Genomic DNA, 23,301 nt, shown 5'->3' with positions numbered 1-23,301 from the left:
AAGTGGCGTTAATAGTCTGCTAGATTGGCTAACTGAAACCAAGTCTCAATAATAGCTTATAGTTAATGAAGTCAAAATGTCTGAACTTTTACAGCACATTATAAAACAAGGTTCTCAAATTTCAACAAGCATCAGAATGATATGGATGGCTATTTTATTTTATTTTATTTTAAGACGGAGTCTCACTCTGTCGCCCAGGCTGGAGTGCAATGGCACGATCTGCAACCTCTGCCTCCTGGGCTCCAGAGATTTTCTTCCCTTAGCCTCCCAAGTAGCTGGGATTACAGGCGCCCACCACCATGCCTGGTTAATTTTTTTTTTTTTTTTTTGTATTTTTATTAGAGATGGTGTTTCACCATGTTTGCCAGGCTGGTTTTGAACTCCTGACTTCAAGTGATCCACCCGCCTCGGCCTCCCAAAGTGCTGGGATTACAGGCGTGAGCCACCATTCCCAGCCTCATGGATGGCTATTTAAACACAGATTGCTGAAATGGGATCTCTGAGTTTCTAATGCAATAGTTTGGGATGGAGCCGCAAATACGGATTTCGAACAAGTTCTCGTGTGAAGATGATACTTATGTCAGGGGACCACACTTTAGAAACATTGTGATAAAGCCTGCTTTCATAAAGTGAGACACACAGACAAGCAGCATCAACTAGACGGCTCTACCCTCCTACTCTATATCTACTAAATCATAAGTTATAATTCTAACAAGATCTCTAGGTGATTCATGGGCACATTAAAATTGAGAAGCCCTATTTTAGAGGAGTTTAAAAGTTCAGAGTGATGGAAATGTGCAATGAATTTATCTTCATGTGTAATCTGATAAACCAGCCTTTATCTATACACTTCTAAGATAACCAGAGGACATGCACTTCAGCAAGATTTAACAAGTATATTGGTAAAAGGGCATCTGGCTTCCTTGAAGAGCCCTACAGTTTTTTTTTGTTTTGTTTTGTTTTTTTTTCCTCTGTAGATTAGGGATGTCAGTGAGGGACGCTGTAACAGAATGGGCTTCCTGGTCTCAATAGGGATAAATAAATGACCCTGTGTGTAAAGTGCTCATAGTGACCTAAATGGGATTAATATGTGGGCTCAAGAAGATAGCATTACTAAGGCTAATCTGGTTACTTCTGTTGCTGATACTCAATGTGCCAGTAATAGAACCCAAATCTGAATCCCTATTATGGTATCATTCCTCAGGGAACCAGCTCACTGACCAGTGGCATTAAACCCACTTTTATCATGGAGGAGGGTCCTTATATGGATAAATATGATTCAGTATGGATTTGTGTTGTCTGTAGACCTTCTACCTGAAACAACATTCATGTGCTCAGAGAACGTCTTTCCAATGCTTTTGATCATTATCTGGTGGACATACAACCTCATTTCCAACAAGGTGATTTATTTTATTTTAAGGTGAAGGATCATAGCAAAGAGCTCACACCACAGCTTAATCCAATAATGTTACTACAATGCCTACCATTCAGAAGCAGCTAGCAGAAGAAGATGGTGGGATAGAATTCTTAATTCTCAGATAACGGCTAGTAGAAGATGAACTTCTATGAGGTTTGGTCATTCTCTTACAGTATGTGGCGTATGCTTTAAATTAGAGGTCACGAAGGCATGCCCTCTCCTGAATAGCTATGCAGGAGATGGCATGACATAACAGAGCCTGGGCAACTTGAAGTGAAGATGAAAGTGATCTCTCTTCCTATCTTACTTAATGATCTTCGTGAATAATTTTGGCTTTCTTGTCTGTGACCTTCAGCTGGGTGACATTTGGGTTCTAGGACCAGAAGTTGAACGCTTTGACAACGAAACTCAACTATTGTTCTGACTAATTGGAAGCTCAGATTGTCCTCTGGCCATTTTTGGACCCTTCATGCTGATGAACGTTTGAACAGAGAAAAGACTTTCCATACTTGTGGGGGATAATTGATCCTAATGCCTTGTAGCAAATACGATAAGGACAAGTGAAGCAAGAGGAACAGATGTAAACATATCTGAGTGTACAGTTCAGTGGTATTAAGTATATTCATACAGTTGTGCAGCCATTACCACTATCCATTTCCAGAACTGTATTCATCTTGTAAAACTAAAACTCTATACCATTAATCAATAACTCCCCATTACTCCCTCCCCAAGTCCTTGGTAACAACCTACTTTGTCAATGATTTTGACTACTTTAAGTACCCCATATAAGTGTGTTACCAAAACACCAGGGATTTGGTCTAGGTCCTGCTGTTTGCCACACAAACTCAATCACTGAGACGATGAATATTGCCAAGGAAGAAGGCTTTAATCAGGTGATACTGCCGAGGAGATGGGAGCTGTCTCAAATTTATCTCCCTCACTGACTAAAACTAGGGGTTTATATAGCAGGGAAGAAATGCAATAATGTGCAAGAAACAGGAATTACAGAGGGGCAAGGAAGCAAGCATAATGAATGAGGGATCCTGCATCTCATTGTCTGGATGTGGTGATATGGTGAGTTTTTTGATACTTTGAGAGGCCTGAAGATCATTTGGTAAATTTCAAACTTTCAGATCAGAAGAGTACACATCTATGTTTATTAAAAAATATATGGAAGTATTGGGTCAGTTTCAAGTATAATCATGCCATATTTGTTTTTTCATGAGTGGCTTATTTAACTTAGCATACCAGCCTCACTGTTGATCCATGTTGTAGCATGTGTCAGAATTTCCTTCTTTTTCAAGGCTGAATAATATTCCTTTTGTGTATATACTACATTTTGTTTATTGATTTATCCATGGATGGATGCTTAATTTGCTTCCAAGTTTTAGCTATTGTGAATGATGCTGCCAGGAACATGGGTATGTAAGTACCTCTTCCAGAGACTGCTTTCAAGTCTTTTGAGTATATACTCAGAAGTAAAATGGCTGAATCACGTGGTAATACTGTTTTTAATTTTTGAGGAAACATTTGTTTTCCACAATTTCCATATGATTTTATTTTAAACTTTCAATTTATTAATAAAAATTGTATATATTTCTTTTGTAAAACATGATATTTGATATGTGTATGCATTGTAGAATGGTTAAATCAAGCCAACTAACATATGTATTACCTCACTTCTTGTACAGACAACACTTAAAATCTACTCTCTTAGCAATTTTCAAGTGTACAATATATTGTTATTAACTATAGTTACTGGGATGTAAAATTAATCTCTTGAACTTGTTTCTTTTGTGTAACTGAAATTTTGGGCTGCACCACCTTACTTTCCAACCAACATTGTAGTGTTTCAATTTCTCCACATCCTCGCCAACACTTGCTATTTTTTAGGTTTTTTGTCTAGTAGCCATCCTAATGAATGTGAGGTGGTTTATTATTGTAGCTTTCATTTTTATTTCCCCAATGATTAGTGATGTTCACCATCTTTCTGTGTGTTTATTGATTATTTGTATATCTTCTTTGAAAAACTATTGATTCAAGTTCTTTACACACTTTTCAATCAGATCATTTGTTTTTCGTTGGATTTCAGAAGTTCTTTATATATTCTGCATAACAATGAATGTTTATAGTGGGAAAAAGTTATGTTGAGAAAGTAGATAATCACTTTCAGGTGGTTCTCTGATTAATATTTGAATAATATTATGTATAAATAATAAAACATATTCAAGTATCTGATTATTATTATATGAAGTTAAACAATCTTCCTCTTTCTTAAATACACTGCATATAGAAAACCCTAAAGCAAGCTTGTCCAACCTATGATCCGCAGGCCACATGCAGCCTAGGACAACTTTGAATGTGGCCCAACAAAAATTTATAAACTTTCTGAAAACAGCATAAGATTATTTTTTGGGATTTTTTTTTTTTTGTAACTCATCAGCTATCAGCTGTCGCTAGTGTTAGTGTATTACCTGTGTGGCCCAAAACAATTCTTCTTTCACTGTGGCCTAGGGAAGCCAAAATATTGGACATCCCTGCCCTAAAGAGTCTACACACACACACACACACACACACACACACACACACACACACAACTAATAACTAAATTCAGCAAAGTAGTAGGATACAAAACCAATGCACAAAAATCAGTTGTACTTGTATACCTAACAAGTAATAAGCTAAAAAAGACATTAAGAGAATAGTTCAGTTTACAATAGCATCAAAAAGAATAAAACACAAAGGAATCAATTTAACCAAGGAGGTGAAACATTTATGCAATGATTATTAGAAAATATTTTTGAAAGTAAAGTACTTCGTCAGGCTTTGAAATAGCTTCTTCAATGTGTAAAATGATTTTCATCATCTTACAGACCAAATGAATAAAATGACCTTTAGAAAATACCTGAAAGAATCTTATTTAATTTAGTTAGTTTATTTGATTTTTTAAAAAGGGCAAGTACTTGTGCTATTGAAAAGGAATATGACTTAGAAAGTTTACTTCATTTGCAGTTAGAGAGTACTTTAAATTAAATTTGTTTGGCTGGATTAACCTCTCAAATGATAAGCCTATCAGAAAACTTTGAATATTTGAGTACTCTTTAGTTAATTACATTTTTGCTGCTTTAATTATCAAACTTAAGCTTATTTGTTTTTCTACGATAGGCACTGCCATAGAAAAAAATGACAGAATTTAGTCTTAATACTTGCCCACTTTTACATGAAAAAAGCAAACTGCTTGAGCACGTATGGTTATTAAATATGTCCTCCAATTAATTGTTTCCAGAAGCAAATTACCTATAGAAACAAAACATTTTTCTGTAACATAGTTCTAATTCACATTTAGTATTGTCATAACATCCATCTGTTTTATTATTTTCAATAACATATTAAATAATTTTGCCTTATTGTTTACAGAATTGTTAATCTGAATGATTTTATAGGTGAGAAAACAGATTTAACTGTAGGGTTATGACAACTCAGAATTCTCCTAGAGGTACTAAAAAACCACATTTTCTATTGTACAAATTTATCTATGGAATAAAAGGTTTTAAATATCTTATATTAAAAATTAAATCTGAAATCAGAGGAGAAATGGAGGAGGATTATGATGTGACCTTTCTCTCTGCCTGGAATATACACTTGGATTTGGATCAACCAGAAACTCAAAAAATGAAATAAATGGAGTTGTTGAAATATGTTCATTGATTCACTACTACCAGTTAATTCCACATCCATTTCTTAAACATATTGTCTTATATAATTGTTTGTTGTCCTACAGTCAATTAGGTGTTTTTGTTTATTTTTTGAATATGTGGGTTGTCTTTTCATGGAATATTGCTTGAGTTTTAACTAATATTAAATATGTGTAAATGACACAGATAAAATCAAAATCGTATTTGACCATAAATATAACGTAAATATTTTCATTCCTGCTATAACCGTAGGAAGACTGAAAAACTAAGGGAAAAAACTTTAATTTGTTCTGTGATTAAAGTTCTATTAACTCATAAGCTTAACAAACTTACTTCCCCTATCCAAAGTACTATATATGCAATCTTTAATAATTAAACTACTGTGATGTTGATAAATTTAATACAAACTCTTCAAACATCTAGAAGGGTAGGCAAGCATACCCAAGAGGATTTTTTTCTTAAGACACTTAATCAATTCTTTCAATCTAATAAATCACACTTACAAATTTACTGAATCGAATCATTTAAAACTTTGAAATAGTGTTTAAAATCGCAGTCAAAAAGTTTATATTTTAAATCACATATCTAACAACAACAACAACTTTCTACAGTTGCATTTTCACTAAAAAAAGGAATTTCACAAGTTGAAATGAAGTTTTAGTTAAAAAAAAAAAAGGGGGGGGATCTTCAGCTTGGTAGAGATTTAATTGTTTGGTTAGGGAATGGAAGAAAAACCCAAAATTTGAGGTTTATAATTGATTCTAATGGAGACACAGGTTAAGAGGTTGAGCTTTTTCATCAAGCAGGGCTTTTTTGGCTTTTATCTTTTCAAATCAATCTTTCACATACATTTTAAAACCATATTTTTGGCTGGATGCAGTAGCTCACGCCTGTAATCCCAGCACGTTGGGAGGCCGAGGCGGATGGATCACCTGAAGTCAGAAGTTTAAGACCAGCCTGGCCAACATGGCGGAACCCCATCTCCACTAAAAAAAAAAAAAAAAAAAAAAAAAAAATTAACTGTTTGTGGTGGCAGGTGCCTGTAATCCCAGCTATTATGGAGGCTGAGTCACGAGAATCGCTTGAGCCCAGGAAACAGAGGTTGCAGTGAGCCGAGATTGCGCCACTGCACTCCAGCCTGGGCAACAGAGCAAGACTCTCTCAAAAATAAAATAAAATAAAATAACCAATATTTGTTTCTTTGATTTCAACCCCTGGGACATATTTTTCTAATGAACAGAACTGCCTGATTAGATTCTATACTCTTCTTTTTTTTTTTGGTTGAGGAGAGTGGGGTATGAAGATTGTTTTTTACCCACTTTAATCATTATGTTGAAACACACACACACACACACACACACACACACACACAAAAACACACATACACGGCATGGTATGCTTGTACTTTTAATTTTAACTGCAGCAATTTGATGGCCTGAAAATAATAAAATATTGCAATATTCTGAGGGTATAAACCTTTCCCATTTACACCAGTCTGATAATTAAATATGGTAATTCCCTGAACGTCTTTCTATTTTATCTCTTAGTCCAGTTAATACAGTCAGCAAATGCTAATAAGTACTAATAAGCATTTTTGATCTTAGTAGTATGACTTTTTTTGCTTATTATCTTGTTCATTTTTGCTTTTGCCAGCAAGAAATGGCCTTTTATTTCATGAAAAGTTATCAACGGTTACTGTGAATAAACTGTTGCCTTCTTTTTGTTTTATATTTTACATATGCATACATAGTCTTTTTTTTTTCTTGCTGGTATTTAAGTATGTTCTGTGCTTCTCTTATTTCAGTTGTACAGAAAGTACATTTTACATTTAAAATCATTTTGTTGATAATGTTCCCAATTTAATGAAAAATAATATATAACTCCTTTATATGCTCAAATCTATATAAATTGCTAGTAGCTGTAGGATGAAAAATGTTATTCATTGGGTAGTTGCGTGCCTCCACTTACATTCATTTTTATTGTTTTCTCATAGAACTCTATATTGCTGATTGTAAAAATCTTGGGAACTTGCTTAAGCTCACAGTTAGTTAATAGTGTGCGGCCAAGATTCTGAACATAGATCTTTTGACATTAAATCCTGTGTAAATTACCTGTTATTGTATAACAATATCATTAAAATTAGGTAATTTAAAACAACACACATTTATTATTTGATAGTTTCTTTGAGTCAGGAGTCCAGACACAGCATAGCCAGGTACTCTGCTTAAGGTTTCACAAGAGTATAATCAAGGAATTGTCAGGGCTACCATTTCATCTGAAACATGGTTAGGGAAGCATTTGCTTCCAAGTTCAATCAGGTTGTTATGTATTCCTTATGGACTCAGAACACAACACAGTTTGTGTTCTCATGTTATACAGACACATAGACACATGTATACAACATAGAATCTCATGTTATGTAACCACATAATCATATACATGGGAAATAGAAACATAGACTTTTCTTTGGGGTAGAAGCATGTCACAGGTTTTTTGGACCATACTTAATGCCCACTATCCTCTTGTATGGGTGGCAAGCTCTAATGTCACAATTAAAAAGAAAGGGCTAGCTATGTGAGAAGATCTTAAGAAAAAATGGAAAATCTATTGAAGAACATTTATTCTGTACAAATAGAGTCTATATTAGCAGTTACATGAACTCCTGTAATTTAATATGTTAATCTCTCTTGAGAATCAGGAAGTACATAAAAAGAAGCTGCAAAGTTATTTTTCTGAATTAATAGGCTAATAAAGAGGCTAAATGAAAGAGGAAGTTTTCCATTTTTATAAAAAACGTCCCTAGAGGTAAATGGCCCTCAATACCTACTTCTTAAAGGATGAAGCACAAATCCCAGTATTTAAGGCTGTAAAAGATTGACCAGCCAAGAAATGTGTTGAAAATGTCAATAAATATTTAACTGTGCTAATATTTTTAACACGATTGTGATTGTTTTGATTTTTATTATTCTAAATACAAGAGAACAAGTCTTTTTCAGGAACATACATATAGTATTATAGTAGAAATGCCTTTTCTCTTATAGTACTGATTTTGTAGGGAGAAAAATCGAGGGTAAATGCGGTTATCCACTTTCACATAGTTGGTAAGTGGTGGATTATGGATTGGATTCTAAGCCTATCCATTCCAGGGCCAGCTCTCTTAACTTCTATTATATGAGTATCAAACTAAATTTAATTCCATTTTCTGAACTGCCACCATTTTTATTATGATGAAAGGAAAATTTCATGTAAGGTGAATCCCATCTTGGGTATTACCTATTCTGCAAGACAGGCCTACTCAGGATTATTCCTGTTGATCCCTTTATTATAATTAAATATGTCTCGTTACCACTATTAAACATTGCTTGTTCTAGCTGACATTAATAGAGCCATCCAGTTTTCTTATTTAGTGTTGTGTCGTGCCTCCCATCTTTTTATTTTTAACTTATCTGTAATATTTAAAATGAAGTCAAAGAAGAGAATACATTTAAACATCAAATGAAACACATTAAGCAAAAGGTTTATTGGCAAAAAGGGAAGCTTGCAAAGTAACGAAGGAGGAAAGAGAGCACATTATCCCAATACACCCAGAGTATTCTGGTGTTTAGCTGCTTGCCAATATTGTCTAGAACACTAGCTTTTCAGATCTTGAAAACTTAGGATGTGTGGAAAGATACAGTCACCACTGCTGGGATAGGGAGAGACAGGAGTTTCTGGCTTAATGCTAACTATAGCTTGGGTGTCACGTATTCTTCTAAGGAGAGGGGTATGGGCACAGTTGTTCAGGCAATTCAGAGTGAACACTTAGGTTAATTTTTAAAAAATATGTATATTGCTCCTTGTATCATGTCTGCCTAAGCTTTGCTCTCTTCTCTCTCTCTCCCCTAAATTTTGGCTTAAAGCAAGCTTGTATATGAAAATTTGAGAGGCTTTTTTTTTTCTTTTTGGCAATACAAATGGACAATTCTAAAGGGGAAAGCAGGCAAGCAAACAAAACTCTTTCAACACACCAGCAGTAGAAAGATTTTTTGTTGAGTTTCAATCATTGAACTCAGGAGTGAGCTGAGAGCAAGAAAACTATAGATCTTTTCCATGAAAGTTAGAATCTTTAAATAAAATATAAATCCAGATACAGTGTTTTTGTTTCACTACTTTAATATTAGTTACTATTAAAACTTTATCTGGTTATAAACTATTTGCTTTGTAAAGATAGTTCAATGGCTCCTTCCCTTAGTGTATCTGCTCGCAGCTTGGAGCATATATATATATATATATATATATATATATATATATATATATGGAGCATATATATATGGAGCATATATATATGGAGCATATATATATATATATATATATATATACATGCATACACACAATCAGAAGATTTGCAGTTGCTACTCTTAAACACTATTGAGTCAAGGTATTAATGTTAATGTTAGTTGACCTGCCTATTGTACATAAGTTTTCTTGATGAGAAAATAAATTCCCTTTCAATTTCTCAATTATATATTGAAATACAGATCAAATATCTTTTCATGGTGAGTTGTGTGAAGTATTTGTAAATTAGTATGTACTGGGGCCTTGAATATATATACATTCTTGAACATATTTATAGGCAATAAAATGCCATCAATATCTGATCTATACTTTGGAGTGTATTGTATGTAGGTTGTGTATTTGCCATTTCAGTCAAAAATAAAAATACTCATTCCACTCAATATTCATGTAATTATGTCCTAGTATGTGAAAAAGTGCAAAAAATGTGCCATTTACAAAAGTATGTGTATGTGAGACAACATTTGTGTTTAAACATTATTCTGGCTTGTTACAAAAGATTCATGGTTCTTTCCAGCATTTCTTAGGCGGATAAAGACTGGTAGTAGTAGTATGATAAAGAAATATTATAGATAATTATAGTTATTATTAAATTACTGAGAAAATATTTTAAAGAGCCTTCCACTTTTCTTGTAATTATGCAACGGTATAACATTTAGGCCAATTTCATGCCTTAAGAAAATGCAACAGATACTTTTTTCGTTATATTTTTCAAGCCAGATTCGTATTTATGGATTCTCTGTATATTCTTGAGTGCTGTCCTAAGGCGATGTGTTCTCTCGATAGTTGCCATTTATTCTAGTGTTTTTTTGGAGGCTACATTTTACTTGCATAGCCACATCTCTTCTATATCTATAAGTTTAATAAAATGGATCGGTTGAAAATGATTGCTCTAAGCCATGGTACATTATTATTTGGCAAAGAGATCATTGCTGCGTGAGGGAAAAATGGTATTTGAGTTGCATCAGTGCTGTTTGCATTCGACATGTAAAATGCATGGGATCTTTAACACAGTAGAAAGGGTTAGAGACATAATCTTTTCAAGTTTTATTCAAAAACTGTCTACAATTCAGCTTGCTGAAAAAAAATAATAAGAAAGCAATCACTGAAATGTTACACTGGCCTAGTGCGTTGTTCTAGTAGAGTAACCCAGACATGTCTTAAAGAAGAATGGCTTCTATTCCATTTCTGCACACTAGTTTTGTCTTTCATGTCAAGATGTATGTTTTATGTATTTGCTCTAAGATAAAAAGAAGCAGTTCTCACCATGGGAGGCTCAGCTACTTTTTAAAAATCTATTTCCTCTTCCTTTCTTAGTTTCACAATATCTTTTTTTCACATCAGAGGTCTAACAGAATTAATTGAGACATCAGACTCTGCTATTACAGGCATTTCCTTTTGTTCAGGATAAAATTCAGTGATAACTCCTGTGAGAAGTGATAGATGGGGGGAAACAGATTTATGTTGTTAGAGGGAAACACAAAATGGATGATGGAACTCACCATGTCTGTATCTCTGCCTTCCACCAAAAATATTATTTATAAATAATATAATGCAGATACTTTGGCCTTTTGGTAAAGAATATTTTCTGTCTTATGCTAGATATACAGTTGAGTATTTTCAGCTTTAAAACTGATTGTGAGCCAGCCGCGGTTTAAGAGCATGATCTTTGCTAAAGAATTCATATGAGTAGAATATGTTTTCAAGTACCTTTCTTTGGTTTGCAGGTACAATTCTGGTGGACAACATGCTGATCAAAGGGACTGCTGGAGGACCAGACCCCACCATAGAACTTTCTTTAAAGGATAATGTGGATTACTGGGTGTTGATGGATCCTGTTAAGCAAATGCTTTTCCTGAACAGCACCGGAAGAGTTCTGGATAGAGATGTTAGTGATTTTTTTTCTTTGCCCCTGTAATATAAGTTTATTATAATTTAAATGTCTATGTGTGTGTTTATATGATATTGAATTATTTACATAATTTGAGTTTATTTCCTGAGTATAGCAACAACAGTTTCTTTAACTCATTTAAAGAAGAATGAGAAAGGAAGGGAACATCTGTGTCCTGGAGAACCGTTAGACTTCCCCTTTAATATCCTGGAAGCTTGTCAATTTCTGAACAAGAAGAAAATATAGTGCTTAGAAAAAAGAGGTGGTACCCTTGGCAAAGTAGGACAAGCATGGCTATAACTCATTTCTGTCCAACAATGGCAACATGTAAGTGTGTCACTCAGCTGCCGGCTTGAAGATGTAGTTTGGTGGGTGCACTCACAGGAGCCTGCTTTTACAACTAGTAAGCATTGGTTGAAGGGCAAAACTGTGGAAATGTCTTACATAGTTGCAAAAAAGAAAAAAAAAATGAGAAAAAGTTTCATGGTAATATGCCAGTCAAGTAGTTCTCAGATAGCATAAATTTTTTTTTATTAAGAATATCTATATTGGGCTTGGCACAGCAGTAGCTCATACCTGTAATCCCAGCACTTTGGGAGGCCCAGTGGGGAGAACTGCTTGAGCCCAGGAGTTTGAGTCCAGCCTGGCAAATAGAGTAAGACTCTGTCTTGACAAAAAATTTGAAAAACTAGGCAGGCATGGTAACACGTGCCTGTAGTCCCACTAATCTGCAGACTGTGGTGGGAGGATCCCTTGAGCTTGGGGTTGGGGAGTGGAGGCTGCAGTGAACTATGATCACACCAATGCACTCCAGCCAGGACAGCAGAGCGAGACACTACCTCAAAAAAAAATTGCTAAATTACCAACGTAGTTGGATGTTTCATTTCTGGAAAAATTAAAAAAAAATTAATAGGTATAAGTAGCTCTCTAAAGTAACTTTGTACTCACTTATTTGCATCTCAGTCTTTCTTGAGTACAGAGGGGCAGAGGGTAGTGGATTATAATCAGTAATTGCACTGGGCCCTGGGAAAACTCAGAGAGTAACTCTAAACATGCTTACCCACAAGTTCCCAGCTTATGAAATCCAAATGTCAGATACTCAGCTTAGTGAACCTGAATCATTTCACATCATTGCTCAGGGTTTATGATCCACTTTACAATAGGTTATGGAGTGGTTGATACTTTATACTATTTCATGTCTAAAATTTGGAGTCTTTAATAAATCTCAATTTGCCTCTTATTTTACTACAGTTTACTATGTGCTTTATTACTTATGAATTCTTTGAATTCTTGTGAATTATGTTTTCCTGCTGCCACAGTGCTTTTAGGGGTTCATTCATCAAAGCATAAGGGCTTTTATTCTGAATATCCTTAACCTAGTGCCCATCTGTTTTATGTGTCCTATAGACCATTACTGCTAGACAAATAGTGAGGTAAATCTGGGCTTTTAGTCCAAATCTAATCACTACTGGAAATTACAGTCTCATTTAATTGTAAAATAATATATGCTTATGGTAAACATATCAGAAAATAAGAAGCATATATATGAAGATAATTTTATCAGTTAGGGAAAATAACATTTAATGTTTATTCTGCCACATTTTATTTCAAGCATTTATGTGTGTTGATATGTATATTTATAATACTTATTAATTTAAATTGGATTATGCTGTTCATTTTGCTGTCGGCCTACTTTTTACATAAAATTTATAATACATGTAAAATTATAATGCAAACAAATGTATATTTATATAATTATTTTTATTAGCTGCATGATTGGTTATTGCATGAATAAATAAGAGATTTTTAAAAAATGAATCTCCTATTTTGGAAGTCAAGTTTGTTTGCAGTTTTTAAGAATTACAAAAATGCTGCAGTGAAAATTTTTGTACATGCATCTTTCTACAATTGTTTAGTTGTTTTATAGAGATAAATTCATTTACCATCATTATATTACTGGACTAGGGAGTTTTATCCATTTTACTAAATGGTCCTCTCGATATATTGTCCCTATATGCTTCCATACCAATATTGCTAAATAATTGTAATGTCTGAAATAAAATAATAATATTATGTAAATATTTGAAATAATCTTAGTTTACTTGGAGAGGTGTTGTATGTTTTTACTTTATTGTTTTAACATTATTTACATTGATATAGAATAAGATATTTTTTCTTCTGTATGCTTCTCTATGATCCTAGTTAATATTTTCTACAAAGATATAGTAGAGAATTCATTTTAAAAAAAGTGAGTGCACACTTTTTATATAGATTGTATTTGAAAATATGCTCTCCAGTATTAATGAAATATATATTAATACTATGATATTCATATATGTAAATATATATACCTTTATTTACACTGTTTTAAATTTTATTTAATGTAAAATGTTTTTTCCCAAAAGCTAAATATAGATAAAATATACATTATTATTAAATAACTATATTATTATGATAAATACCAAAATATTTGTAGTTTCTTTTAAAATATAGGGCATTTACCTAAAATGTAATTCTTTTGATTGTTGCCCAAAGTTTTTTGGTTGTTCTTTTATGAATATAATGAATCAAAATAAAAAATATGGGCTGGGTGTGATGGCTCATGCCTGTAATCCCAGCACTTTGGGAGGCCAAGGCCAGTTAATCACTTGAGGTCAGGAGTTCAAGACCAGCCTGGCCAACACGGTGAAAACCCGTCTGTACTAAAGTCCAAAACTTATCCAGGCATTGTGGCAGGTACCCTGTAATCCCAGCTACTGTAGAGGCTGAGGCAGAAGAATCACTTGATCCCAGGAGGCGGAGGTTGCAGTGAACCAAGATCACACCACTGCACTCCAGCCTGTGTGACAGAGTGTGACTCCGTCTCAAAAAGAAAAAAAATTATATATATATATATATTCCGTTTCAAAAATATATTTTTATTTATATATTATATATATATATTCCATTTCAAAAATATATTTTTATTTATATATTATATATATATATTCCATTTCAAATATATATATATATGCTCTGAATATCAAAATAGAACCAACAATTTGAGTTTGATCCTACTAACAATGGCGAAAGCTTTGTATTATAATCACTAGCCTATAATTAACTTTAACCCTTCTTAGTGGTAAATTGCTCTTGAAATTATTTTTATAGAAAATTTTCCACTGAATTTTTGTTATGAAATTATGCTTTTCTAAGAATATTCTGATTTTAATCAAAGTTATTTGGCTTATAAGGAAGACACAACAATGCCTTCAAATGATTTCCAGCTGATGGGAGAGAATATTAACAATACCAATAGCATAGATATAAAAAATAATTTACTTTTATGGAAATTGTATGTTTACCAGGGAGAGAGGAAAACTACTTGGTCTTGGACCATATGGTCTCTAGTTTCTGCCTTTCTCTGTGCATATTCTCTATTTTTCTCTCTGCAGAGCAGATTCCTTTATACACTTATAATTTTACTCCACTTCCTTGTTTTTCATTTGACTTTAAGTGTTTTCTGTGTTCATGCCATGCCAGTTCTTCATAAACTTTTGATGCAGTGGCCATTAAAGAAGGCTTAAAGTCACTGTGTTTTGTTTTGTTTTAAAATTTCTGAGAGAAATAACAATTAAATACTCACTGGTTTGAATCTATAGCCAGGGAGCAAGGAGTAGGGCCACATGGTAGATCCATATCCAATTATACCATCTTTTTAGCAACAGTTAGAGAAAAATTTATTTTCCAGAGAAAGTGATGCAAATCATGTTTTCTACATTTTCTCATTGAGGCAATAAACTGTCTCTTAATGGGGACGTTTGAATAATTATGGCTGTAATAGAATTAAAAGCAAACAATATAGACAGAAACATTTTTAACAGTGTGTTAAAAATAAGCTGATAAACATGATCTTCATGAAAATTTCCGAGGAAGAATATAAAGAATAAAAATACCCAACGCTCAGATATTTGTATTTAATTAGAAAGCATTTACATGAGATTGTATGACTATGAACTGTTTTATAATTTTAAAACTTGGTTTATAAGATTTTCCCTTATGGTCATCATTTATTTTTATGTCTTATTTTTATTTTTTTGTTCACTAAAGTTACATAAATTTTCAGCACCCAAAAATTAAAAAAAGAAAGGAAGAGTTACAAAATTAAAAGTCACAAAAGAGAAACAACCAGAATGTGATATTTGGGGTGAACATGAAGAGTCTCAGTAATAAAGGCACATCACATAAAAATTTTGAAATGCTAAATGATTGTCTCACATGGCCAAAATGCTCTCATCACTATTGGGCATGTGATAATAATGGTCATGACAATATCAATAATTAAAATAATAACAGAAAGAAAAGTATGACTCTGGTACAGTCCTATAATACTTATCTCAAAATCCTGGGCAAAATTTTAAAAGCTTTTGAAACGAGAGAAATTATGTTCATAACAACATCAAATATCTTAGCTTCTTTTCTTTCAGACTCTAACTTGGTAGCTGCAAAAGGGGCTTGACTCCCCTGCCCAGGCCAGTGTCCATTCAACTGCTAAGTTTAGTAGTTTTATCTCCACCTTGTATCTTGCATCTCCATCAGTCAACATAACTTTAGTATAAGACCTCTTAGTCATCACTCATATAAACTAATTGTTGTCTACCACCTGTCTTGATTCAACCTATTCTACAACCAGAGTGCTGAAACAGAGACTGTGCCCACAGATACCTTTTCATTGCAAACTGTTTTCTATCTGTCTCTTGAGTTTTGCTAGATTCAAGATGCACCCTGTCTATATAATTTTCTTTTTATTTAGAAATGTATGAACTACAAACTAAGAAAACTAATGTAATTATTGTCCCATGACCATATCCAATTTTTTCTTACCATACCTTCCCTGATGTTCTTTTGAACATAAACTTTGAAATCACTGTTATCCAGTGCTATCAGTTGAATTTTATGTGCTACTAAGAGATATCTTAAATGCTGCTTCTGTATAAATTATTTTCTAATAACACTGGTATGCAATTCCTTGTTCTAAAATCCATATTATTTAATAGTATTTTTGACTGACTTTATTTATGATCACCTCATATCAGTTTTATAAAAGTTGCTATTAGTATCCAAGGACTAAGTCATATTAATCCTAACCCACATTAAACTTTTCATATAACAAATACCTACCATTAAATAGACTGAATGTCCTTAATAATTCACTGTGAAAAATCTATAGATGTATCTACATGTCACATATGCATAATTGTATTTACAAATTGATATTTTCTTTTTAGGTAATATCTTCAGTAAATATGCTACTATTCATTGTGAAAATTTAATTTGTGAAGGACACTGACAACTCTGGCCAGCCATTTCCTTTAAGTTTGCTTTTTTATGTAAAAGTCGTTTCTAAAACACACAGTGTCTTATTTCCTTTCACTGTCTTCCACATTACTTGTGAAATAGGAATGATTATGTTATAAAGGTGGTAAGTCCATAGACAGAAATATCATGACAAAAAAAATTCACTCCTGAGAATTAGACAAACTTTGCCTATACTTTATGAAAAATAAATTCCTACAGATTTGCCAAAAATGCATTCCCTGCCCCCCAAATCATTGACTTCCAAATCATTTGGTTTCTAGAAAAAAAATATATTGGATTGAAGATTTGTGCTATAATCTAAACTGCTAATATCAACAAATCCCCTATAAAAACTTTAATTTTCATGTTGAATCCTAAATGATTGAGAAATTCATAACAAAAATTTCTATTTTATATTTTTTTCTTTTTCAGAGTTACAAAATTTTTACATTTTTGTGGGAAAATTTTTTCTCTTCATACTCTCAAACCCACTTTTTAATGATAGTATCCTTTAATTGTTGATATATATCATTCCTGATACACATATCATAACCTATACACAGGTACACTAATACACAAATGTGCAAGTATACGTTCAGAGTATTGTGTTAAGCACTCATTTTTAAATTGAAAGAATAGCTTGCATGTTTAGGTATATATGAATGGTAATAGTTTTAAATAGTTATATGAACACAATTTCTACCTAGCTTTTTTTTCTTCTTTGTTTGATGAATAAAGCAATTAAAGAAAATTAGAAAAGGTCAAATTACCATGGCTTATTTTTGCCACCAGTTATGAAAGATAAAGCAAAATTTCCCTAATGCATTCTTAAGCATCTTAGAGTCCCTAAACTCTCACTAATGGACTTATTAGAACTGTACTTTTATGTATGACCTTCTTATACAGCAGAATTGAATCTATGCCAATACAAAATTACATTGTGTGTTATATATTAGCCACAGGGAATTTTTGCCTTCGGTGTGATCCATTATGGTTATAATTTATTGCCCTCTAAGTTCTAGCCATGCCACTAACAGTTGCATAGGGAGCTAAAGTTGAGAGTGATAACTGTTCCAGGTGACCTGGTTAGATCTAATTTATGGGTACTTAGCAGGACTAAGTGAGGCCTCAGTACACAGTGCATTTGATCCTCTATTTGATAAGATTTTGACCTTTTGGTCCCAGTGGTACCACTCCAAGTAGAATTAGAAGTTGAGATAGAATGTTTTTATAGGTCTCTCTTGCAATAATTGGAAGATAAATAACTTTAAAAGTGCATAATTCACCTCATTGTCTTCCAAGAGGTGTGCCAAGGACAAACAGTACACATATTTATTTTGTTTTTAATTTACAATTAAAATATGCTGGACATGCCTTAAAAGGTCTATTACACACTTGAAAGCTGGTAGTAAAAATGGAGGTCATCTAATTCAAATTCTTTCCAGGAAACTTCTAAGAGCTAGTCTTTTTCAATGGTCTTTTATCCTCAAACTGGCATATTTCAGTGATGGGTCTTGTTTTATAGAATAGTCTGTTCTATTCCATGTCACTTTTTCCTCCTGATTTTTCTTTATTTTATACAAAGACAAATGTGAAAAAAAGAAATTGAAGCATCACAAATATTTTAGCTCATAATGGCAGAGGAAAAGTATTTGGAAGTGCGAAGGCATAAATTTATTTCTAACATAAACTATACTCTTCTACTGATAAGAATCTCTGCTCTATTTGTTATTTTTTAAAAACTTTTATGGGTATATAGTAGGTGCATATGAGTTACATGAGATACTTTGATAGAGGCACATAATTATTTGGTGCAAATTTGGATTAAGAGAAGCCCTCTACTTATGGTGAAAACATGCTTTGAAATATTTTTCAACTATTTTTCTTATTTCTGCTCTCTGAAACTACAGTAAGTCAACTAATGGATGTTTCCATGACAACCATTTAGATATTTGACAAATCATATGTTGTTAAATTTAAAATCCTCCCATTTTATACATTCTCAAAAGTGTTCAAATTTCTCTTCTATGCACCTGTAAAATGGTACCTGTTATAATCTACCTATATATTATTATCTGATATTATTAATTAATGTACAGTATGCATTAGTGTTCCAGTAGCCCATTTACAGTGCTGTCATGTAAAATCAGCTTTTAGCTATCAAAATTTCACAATTACATTTTTACATTAATGTTTGTAGCTGTCTATTACATTTGGGTGATTTTTTTTCTATTACAAATTGGAGGATAAAATTTATTATTGCAAAAATTTACCATTTTGTAACCCATTATTATGACTTATTAAGATGACTTTGAACCATGTCTTTTGTCATTAAATGTATTTATACATCCTTCCAAGGTTTGTAACATTCACAGATTTTATACACATGATTTTAATGCCTTCATTTATATCAGTGATTAAAGGAGAAATAGAGTAGATATAAAAACACAGAGCTATGTGTGATTTCACTAGAGACCTCTTTTCGTATGTCAATGATGCCTCAATTTATTCTTTCTAGGTAGCATCATTCAGACAGCTACAAATTCAAGTCAACTTTCTTTTTCTTTGTTGGCCATAAAAATATCTTGAAACTAAATAATGATTTCCTTCAGCTTAGATATAGTTTCTGTAGCATTTTTCTCATTTACAAATGTGTCGTGCATTATAGATTTTATTTTTTCACTATTTTGGATATTTATTTTTTAATAAATAAAATAGGATATGTATGTAATCCCTTAGGTGTTTAACATATGCCTAGTATAGTCTAATCACATGCAGTATTTACAATTCTCATTGGTGTAACTATTAGCCTTAATTTTATAGATGAATAAACGAAGCATAGAGATACTTTGTACTTTTTCCTGGATCATACAGTTAGTAGGTTATGGAACTGGAAGCCATGCAGTTTGACTCCAGATCATCTGTCTTAGGCATAGGGCTGGTTACTGGAAAGAGGGATACTATCATGACTAAAATAACACACAGGTTGTATTGAGCTTCCAGTCTAGTGAAGGCAGACAAACCAAAACAAGTACATAAAATATACAACGAGCCAAATTTTCGGTGAGAAATGCAATAAAGAAAAATAAATTGGAAGAAATTTGAAAGGAGATGTCAGGTTGGAGACAAGGTTTTTAAGATGGAGGGGTCAGGATAGGACACTGCAAAAATGACATATTTAGAGATAAAGTTGCATAAGCTCAAAAGGGGTTAAAAATCACAAAGAAATACTTTGTAGTGGTCAATACTCTGACTCTAGAGTCAAATATTTGTAGGTGTGCATTCCAGCTCTGCAAACTGTTAGCCATGGCACTTGAGGAAGTATATCTTTGACCTTTCCCGTTCAAGGAATTTATTATAAAAATTATTAGATAAGTAAGCATATGCTTATGTATACTATGTATTGAAGTATTTTTTATAATGACAAAATATAATAGCCTGGAGTAGTTCATTTTAAATTATTACTTGGATACATTATGCTATAGGCTTACAATGAAGTATAATATTGCTGTCACATAACATAACTTCATAGTATTATACAAAAAATGCTATAGTAAATCTATATTTATAAACATGGGCTGATATTCACTGTGTGTCTGTGTGTCTATAATATGTACATATTTAGAGAGTGAAAAAGATTAGCAAAATAAGCATTTAAATGTGTAGAATGAGTAAGTTTAGTTGGCTGGCTTTTGGATTTTCTCTTTTGGTAATCAGTATTTTTAATTTGATCAGCAATGAACATATAATATTCCAGCAAAAATATAAATAAACATAAAAGTTAAACAATCTCTCTTCTCCAGGAATTTATTAATTAACACTTTCTTCAAATTAAAAGTTTATATTATTGCTTCTTTAATCTTTGGAGGGGCAAACTTCGTTTAATCCCATCAATTCTAAGCATTAATTTTGTGGGTGCGCTCATTAGCCATCCACTAACTGTGAGCATAATGCTACCTGAATTCCACACGCTGAGATACAAAATTAAACAATAAATTAATTATGATTGTCTTCTCTTGTCCTTAAAATGATCATTTTCTTTGAGATTATTATAATTTAAAAATAAACAAGAATAGAAAAATGTACTGAATGAACGAGTGCTTTGACAGTGATGAGAAGCTTTGTTTTTAATTAGTATTTTAAAAGATGCAATTTCTACATTGCAGCCACCGATGAACATACACTCCATTGTGGTGCAGGTCCAGTGCATCAACAAAAAAGTGGGCACTATTATCTACCATGAAGTGCGAATAGTGGTGAGAGACAGGAATGACAACTCACCCACTTTCAAGCATGAAAGCTACTATGCCACAGTGAATGAGGTCAGTTTCTATTTACTCTCTCTCTGTCCTTTCTGTTGATATATGTATCTAACTATATACAATAAATGTTTATAAATGATTCCTTTAAAATTATGAGCTTAACTGTTTAGAAATATCAAGAAAACATTAAAAAAATAGTACTCAGAAGAAGTATGTGACTTCCGATGTTATTTTAGGAATTCATTTAACTATGGGAAAAATAATGTATTTATAATAATAGATATTTTATTTTTCATCATCTTTGAAAATTTATTGCCTAGATCCATCTACATGCTTACTTAGGCATAACACGAGTTATTATTATTATCCTAAGGCATTTATCTAATACAAATACATTGCCTTTGTATTTCTGAGGTGGTCATACTAATTAAATACTGGAAGAAAATGTCTGCGGTTCTATAAATGTAAAGTTATTTTCTGGATTTTAAAATCAAGTTCTGAAATATCCAAAAATTAACTACAAATCACAACCGAATTCTTATAGAAAAATGCTGATCAAATTAGAAAAATTATATTTAAAAAGTAGTATTGTAACTTTTTAAGGACATGCTTGTTTGTTGTTTTGCTTTGTTTTATTTTCTCTTTTGGCTAAAGTGCATAAGTGAAGAACCACTTTTATTTTTTTTTAAACCGTGGTTACTGTATTAATTATTTTTAGTTAATTAAGCTACAAAATATTTCTAGAGTACCTCTAATGTGACCTATTATGTGTATGTTAGACACATGAAAAAATGAATGACATTAATGTGATAGTACATATTTTACCAGACCATCTTTTCATTTCAAGATTTTTTTTTAATCTTAAAAATTTGCATGCCTGCTTTACAGGAGAATAACTGTAATTTGTGAATTAAACAGATCATTTGGGCCTTTAACCTCTAGATTCTTTTTGAAGTTACTAAAAATATTTTTTAGTTATTTCAACATTCTTGTGTTCATGAAAGTTTGAAGAAATTATGTTCCTTGTAATCTGAGACTTTCTAAATTATATAACTTAAAAACAAAATACAAACTCCTATTTAAATTTAACAAGACGAATTACTGGTCGATAAATGCTTCACCTCTTTGAGTCACTTTTGTTTAATGAGTTTCTACTGTAATGACAGATACTAATTAATTTCCAAGTAACTAGTTTTAATTATATATAAATGATCTTATTTTGAAATACACCCTTTGAGTTACATTTGCTTTGTTCGGTTGAGTGCTAACTTTATTTTTGGTATAAAGTGATAGGTGAATTATCTTAGGCAACAAATCTACTTACAGAATCTATATATATATATGTATATATATACACACATATATACACATATATATATATGTTAGTTCTGGGATACATGTGCAGAATGTGCAGGTTTGTTACATAGGTATACACGTGCCATGGTGGTTTGCTGCACCCATCAACCCATCATCTACATTAGGTATTTCTCCTAATGCTATCCCTCTCCTACCCCCTCACTCCCCCAACAGGCCCCGGTGTGTGATGTTTTCCTCCCTGTGTCCAGGTGTTCTCATTGTTCAACTCCCACTTATGAGTGAGGACATGTGGTGTTTGGTTTTCTGTTCTTGTTAGTTTGCTGAGAATGACGGTTTCCAGCCTCATCCATGTCACTAACTGCCCCTGGATCCCTCTTCATAGTTCATCCTTCTTTCAGAAATTTATAATGTTCAATTTGAAGTTCAAAGCATCCTATGTGATTTGACTGTTTCCACTTCCCTCTCTAATCTTTTCAGTGTCTTGTTAAACAGTAACTTCTCAAATATCATTTTAATCATGCAACTCTACTTTTCAAAAGTTTTGCAATTTCTCATTATTGTCGGGTGTCAAAAGGTCACTTCTTCTGGCAGACCTTCAAGCTTTTCCATAATCTGACCATTTGTCAATGTATTCTGAACATTCTCAAATTCTCCCTGATAATGCCTTATCCTGTTCAGATTAACTCTCTCACATCTCATAAATATCTCCCTTTCTTAGCCTTTGCTCACACTGTTCATTTTGCCTAGAATAAGATCCTCCCTACCATGCAAGTCTCAAAATTTTGTTCATCTCTTTTACTTGATTTATTTTTATGAAATAATCAATATTTACATGTATTGATCTTCAATTTCTTCAAACCCTAAACTCCTAAACATCAGAGTGATAAAATTTATAGGAAAGGTAAAGATTTGATCTTAAACATTATTTTGAGAAGCTATATTACTGTGCAAAGCTGTCAATACATTGTTGAACTGGTAAGTTTCTCACAATGCATTTCCTTTTAGATAACTGAGGTCATCCTATCCCATTGACACTATGGTCATATCTTC

General features: G+C 32.6%; 1 protein-coding gene across 20 annotated transcripts in view; it reads left to right on the top strand.

The window, feature by feature from the left end:
* PCDH15 (protocadherin related 15) overlaps positions 1-23,301 on the top strand; it is a 1,825,172-nt gene that overhangs the window by 1,237,829 nt on the left and 564,042 nt on the right. For all 20 annotated transcript variants that reach the window (XM_047425663.1, NM_001354420.2, NM_001354429.2 and 17 more), the window contains 2 exons: positions 11,172-11,332; positions 20,839-20,994. In XM_047425663.1, coding sequence (XP_047281619.1) covers positions 11,172-11,332; positions 20,839-20,994 — 317 coding nt within the window. The remainder of the gene's footprint in view (positions 1-11,171; positions 11,333-20,838; positions 20,995-23,301) is intronic.

This window comes from Homo sapiens, chromosome 10 (assembly GCF_000001405.40).
Source record: "Homo sapiens chromosome 10, GRCh38.p14 Primary Assembly".
NCBI classification, from domain to species: domain Eukaryota; kingdom Metazoa; phylum Chordata; class Mammalia; order Primates; family Hominidae; genus Homo; species Homo sapiens.
The sequence above is the reverse complement of the archived record's forward strand: the minus strand, read 5'-3'. Positions and strand labels throughout refer to the sequence as shown.